Raw genomic sequence first — 6,000 nt, 5'->3', positions numbered from 1 at the left:
GAAAGAAAGAAAAAGAAAGGAAAGAAAGAAGAATTAAAGAAAGAGAGAGAGAGAAAGAAGGAAAGGAAGAAAGAAGGAAAGAAAGAAAAGAAAAGAAAGAGAAAGAAAGAAAGAAAAGAAAGAAAGAAAAAATATCTGTGGTTTTTATGGGTGATGTCACAGACAGTGCTAATACTGGCAATTGTTGCTTACATTCAGAATTGAAGAAAATGCTAAATTGCAGTCAGAAGTTAGTTGGAAGGAAAAAAATGATAAAATTCTTCTATTCACGTTTGTGGACCCCTGAGTTAAGCATCTCTGTGCAAGAGGCAGTTCCAGCATTAGCATTGAGGTTGACCAAGATTTCACCACATATCAGGCCGGTATTTTTGAGGTTCGCACCAGGGAAACTACCTAAACCCAAGTGTCAGCCATTTCTATGTCCTTTATATGCATCAAATACTGTTCTGGAGCAGAGGCACCTTTAGATGCCTCTCTGGATGACCCACTGAAAGGCCTCTGCTACTCCTCTTGTCTCTCCCCTGCCATAATTGCTGCCTCCTGCATGAGGAAGCAAACAAAACACAAATGCATGTGGTCTGAAATGTGAGGAAGAGGAAAGTTCCTGGCTTCACAATGCTTGCTCACATGAAAACACAATCATGTACTTCATCATTCTTGGTGGAAGAGTTGTGTGGTTCTGCCCACGCCTTCGCCAAGTGAGTCAGTCAAAGAGGAAATGCTTGTGTATTTGCATGGGTGGTGCTAGGCAGGATAACTGACCCACTGACCACTGGTGAGGATAAAGACATGACTTACTTCCTTCACTGTGTTGCACAGCTTGTAAAGCAACGTCCCAGAAGACAGAACTAGAAGTTAGGGCAGAGTGGCCAAGGCTGGCAGGCACAGGCTGGAGCAGACCTAAAGTCCCCGGGCTGCACATTCCTTTTTTGCTCATTTCCACTCTCCCTTAGGGTAGGCTCCTGAAAAAAGAAAAAAAAAGGTGCTGGCGTTAACTTTCTGGTTGTGTACTCTTCATCCAACAAATACCTGTGGAGCCCTGGCATGGAGGAGGCGCTGCGCTGGTTGGTGGGGTAGGAATGATGCAGCATGCCAATTCTTGTTTCCTGGGAGCTCAGTCCAGGGAGGAGAATATCGACGTGGGCACTAATGACAGTGTGGTGTGATGACTCCATAGGCTGCGAAGTCTATCCCGGGGCTGTGGAAGCAGGGAGGCAGGAGAGCCCTTTCCTCCCGTTAAATAAGGACTCCACTTTTTAAAAAATGACATGCAAAATACTTTAATATCAAAATGAAACCCTGTCTAAACTTTGAGTTATTTTCCTTTTTAGGAATTTTATCTTGTACAGAAACATAACCAACAAATATTTAGCCAGGAAGAAAGAAAGGAGACACAGAATGACTTGTCATCACCCTGGTGAAAGCACTCAGTTTCCACCGCCTCTCACTTCCAAGACACTTTTTGTCCAGCCCTACTCCCTGCCAAAGTCAATAAAAACACGAAGAAGTCAAAAATAAGGATAAAACAGTCTATAAAATTCCATAAAGCAACTAAATTTGAAGACAAATTCTGGTTGCCATCCCTTAGAAGTGGGTGAGTTAGTATCTGGCGATGAATGAAGGAAACCGTGACAGAAGCTCAGACCTCTGAGACAGCACTCAGCACAGCCTCTGCCCGCATGGTTTAGCAAGTGCTAGAAGCAGGGCCAAGGCCAGTGTGGCTTAGCATTCTGCTCCCTGGGGAAATCAGGCCAAGAGACATCGCAGCGCTCAGCGTTTGGGTGAAACATGGAGATCTTTCCACTAATGTTGATGGAGGGACAGCCTCTTACATGTCTTCTCCATGACTACCCATTGTTTTTCTGGGTGGAAAAATAGGAGAGGGAAGCTTGGGTTGATAACCTGGACACTAGCACAAGTGGCCACCTGCATGGCAACCAAGTAGTTAACACATTTCTGAGGGCAGCTTTGGGAAAGTAACGGGTGCTAGCAATGCCACCTCTCCTTTCTCTGCCAAATATGAGAGTAAATTAATTGTCCAGTTTGCACATTTTTAGAGAGTGTTATGATAGAAACCAGTCCATCCATTTTTCTACCATTGGGCGTATATTTGGCCTCACCTGGCAGTGCCTGAAGAAAAAAATTGATTTCTTGGTTTGTGAAAATCATTCTTTACATACCTTTTGAAAAGATTCCTGCAAGGAACGCTATGCATTTTCTCCAATTTTGGAGGGGAAAAATATCTGCAAGGAAAGTTTGAGTATTTGTAACAATCCTCCACGATCCGACCAGCATGAACCCCTCATCAAACGTTCTTTTGTGGGCTACTCCCTTAAACCTCAAAGCCAGCAGGGGAGGAACCCTAGGGAGGGAGAATGGGAGGTCCCTGATGGCTGGCGCAACCACAGTCTCCATCTGTCCTGACAGCGCAGAGAAATACTACCACGGGACTCAGCAAAGCCCAATTCCATACGTTTGGAGCTGGGACTAACTAGGAAGTGCCTAGGTGCCAAAGTAAATGAGCTTCCTCCCTGGGGTGGTGCCAAGGCCCTGAATTTAGACCACAGCTGAAAGGGCCCTTGGAAAACTTGTGGAAAGCTCCCCTAGGAAGATGGAAGAAATGCACACACTGTCCCTGTGTCCGGCACTGAATCTGCTCTGCAGATCACTGCAGGGTATTGCAAGAGCTGCAGCCATCTCATGTGGAGCCTTCTTCTGGTCTCTAGGTGGACTCTGGCAGCCACTGGGGCCCTTGCAGATGTAGTGAACCATTCTGCAGGGACGAACTCAAACCAAAAGAAAGGATAACTTGTTTTTGGTCCAAGCTTCAGGTCCCAGATATGGGGCAACTTAGAATGTCTCCCTCTTTATCCACCTTTCCTCCAAACCTACCATTACCCACTGCTTCTTTATTTTCTTCAACTTTTAAGTTCAGGGGTACATGTGCAGGATGTGCAGTTTTGTTACATAGGTAAACGTGTGCCATGGTTGTTTCCTGCACAGGTCGCCCATCACCTCGGTATTAAGCCCAGCATCCATTAGTTATTCTTCCTGATGCTCTCCCTCCTGCCATTCCCCACTCTGATGGGCCTCAGTGTGTGTTCCTCCCCACCATGTGTCCATGTGTTCTCATCATTTAGCTCCCACTTCTGAGTGATAACATGTGGTGTTTGGTTTTCTGTTCCTGCATTAGTTTGCTGAGGATGATAATAGTTTTCAACTCCATCCACGTCCCTGTAAAGGACGTGGTCTCATTCTTTTTATGGCTGCATAGTATTCCATGGTGTATATGTATCATATTTTCTTTACTCAATCTATCATTGATGAGCATTTGGGTTGATTCCACATCTTTTCTATTGTGAATAGTGCTGCCATGAACATACGCATGCATGTATCTTTATAACAGAATGATGTATATTCCTTTGGGTATATGCTCAGTAATGGGATTGCTTGGTCAAATGGTGTTTCTGCCTCTAGATCTTTGAGGAATTGCCACACTGTCTTCCACAATAGTTGAACTAATTTACACTCCCACCAATACCCACTGCTTCTAAAACAATCTCTTGAAATAGATTTTCACCTTGGCACATGGGATAGAAGCCAAGAGGAGGCTTATTGGAGCTAGAAGAGGACTGGAATTAGCCAATGGGGAAGTGGGTGAAATGAATCTCAGAAGAGCTATTCCAGAGGACAAAGGGACAGTGAGGTCCCATCTTCTGATGTGCCCTAATGACCTCGGTGTGGAAACCCCAAACCCTATCCCTCCACCTGTCAAGAAGAGAGAGAGGTCAGCCTCCAGCCTGCCTCAGCTGTCCTGCGCCTGCCCCAGTGCCTACATGGTCTTCAGAGAGAGAGGCCTTGTCTTCCTGAGGGAGACGTTCCCAGGTCTGCCCTCCCAGGCAGCTGCATGAGACAGATGGCATCCAGGCTACGATGGAAGGGAGGGGAGAGGCCAGGACCAGTGCAAAGTCCCTAACTTCCCCTGCATGGCTTCGCTGAGTTCTGACCAGAGTTCCTACGGTGGGGGGAGCTTGAGCCCTTTCTGAGCTTAGAGTGTAAACTCTAACCAGCCTGGCTAAGCAGGACTTGAAGCAGCTGCCAAATGAAAAAGACCTGCCAGTTCCCCACCTAGGTGGATACCCAGTCACCCCCATGAAGTTTCAGGGACCCTTCCTAGTGACTCCATTTTAAGGCAAGTAGTCACTAATTACCCGGGGACATTGTTGGTCAAGCAGATCAAAGAGGTTACTTGCTTTCAGAGATGGGACAAACTGGAAGTTCTCAGCATTCTCTTACCTCTATTACAGGACCTTTAGACTAATGACATATTTAATTAAACAGGAGCATGTATGAGAGATAGCAACATGTCCTCCAACAGAATTTCAGCCAATCTGTGTCACTTTCAAATGTGGTTTTACATTGATTTGTTAGGACTTGATGGTTTAGGAAAAGGCAAAGGAAGAAATGATATGCTTTGCAGGTTTAAACTGCTAGATGGGTCCCCTTCCTCCGGGATCTTCTGTGATTCTGAGATCCGATGCCTTAACTAAGGGCATTCTGGGCTGTCAGGAAGGGGTGGTGTTGACTGGAGTTACTTGAGTCTTGCTGAAGGAGGCTTGACTTCAGATGATAAAATTCAGACAGACAGAGAAAGAAGAATGTGGGGAGGACTCTAGGATAGGAAGAAAATTCAAGCACGGATGAAATAGGAGTCACCATGCGATATTCAGGAGACATTGAGGGGACATTGAGATATTCAGGATGAATCGTTATTTACTGAAGGAGCCTGTGGTAAATAAGAGGTTTTTCTCTATGTGGAGGCACTAGAGCCAGGGGAATCCACGTTCAGCTAGATCATTGAGTTCTGAATCTTCCCTCTCCAAAACCCCTGTTAGCTCCACACATTCCAAAGCTCTGAAATGAAACAGCTACAGAATCTTTCTCTCCCTTTCCCTGCCTTGACTACTGCCAATCAGGGCAGGCATTCTTGCAAATACTTTATAATTGAAGGAGGAAAACAATGCCCTGGCTCCAAAGTGGCATTGAGGACACAAGCTGTGACTAGTTTCTGATTTTCCTCCCTGTTGGGTGGGCTTGAGTCATTGATGTGGTCCATGTGGCTGCTGCCCTACCCTCATCTTTACTGTTGCCTGGGAGGTGGCAGGAGAATCTTCTATGAGTGAGGAAAATATCACCCTCCGCCTGTGCCTTATTGGATACAGTTGGGTCCTGTGGCCACTAATGGCTGCAAGGGAAGCTGGCAAAGGGGGCTTGGGAGGGAGGGGCCGACACAGCTGCCACTGGTTTGAGCCAATTACGATTCATGTCCTGGGACTGGAAATAATGAGGCCAAACAAAGCAGAGATTCTGCCATCAGACAGCAGAGGGGTGGCTTTCGCAGAAAGGTCAGTGGGGCAGGCAGGTCTTTTCCCGGCACCTGCTATGTGCACAAATAATGACAATGAGGCTGAGCAGTGAAAGGACCTGCCTGGGGTCACAGAGCAAGCACAACTCCAGAGCACACCACCTCCAGGCTGGGCGCTGTCTTTTCTCCTGTGATCCCAGCACAGTGGACCAAGTGCTGGTGGCTCAATGTAAATTTCAAGGCCCCAGGAACTCCTTCACTGAAGATACTCATAGTTTTTAACCCTTACTATGCATCAGAATAACTTGTGGAACTTGCAAAAACTCATGAATGTCCAGACTTCATTCCCTGAAGTTCAGATTCAATTGGTCTGCAGTAGGCCCCGGGCAGCCTCCTTTGCAAAGCTTCCCAGGTATAATGGTGTTCTACTCTCCCCAGTTATTCAATGAAACACAAACTTAGGTGTTTCTATGAAGGTATTTTGTAGATGAAATTAAAACCCCAAATCAGTTGACTTTAAGTAAGGGAGAGTATCCTAGACCAGCAGTCCCCAACCGTTTTGGCACTGGTCACCAGTTCCATGCAAGAAAATTTTTCCGTAGATGGGGTGGGGTGCGAGGGGATGGTTTCAGGAT

This window comes from Homo sapiens, chromosome 6 (assembly GCF_000001405.40).
Source record: "Homo sapiens chromosome 6, GRCh38.p14 Primary Assembly".
Taxonomy (NCBI): domain Eukaryota; kingdom Metazoa; phylum Chordata; class Mammalia; order Primates; family Hominidae; genus Homo; species Homo sapiens.
The sequence above is the reverse complement of the archived record's forward strand: the minus strand, read 5'-3'. Positions refer to the sequence as shown.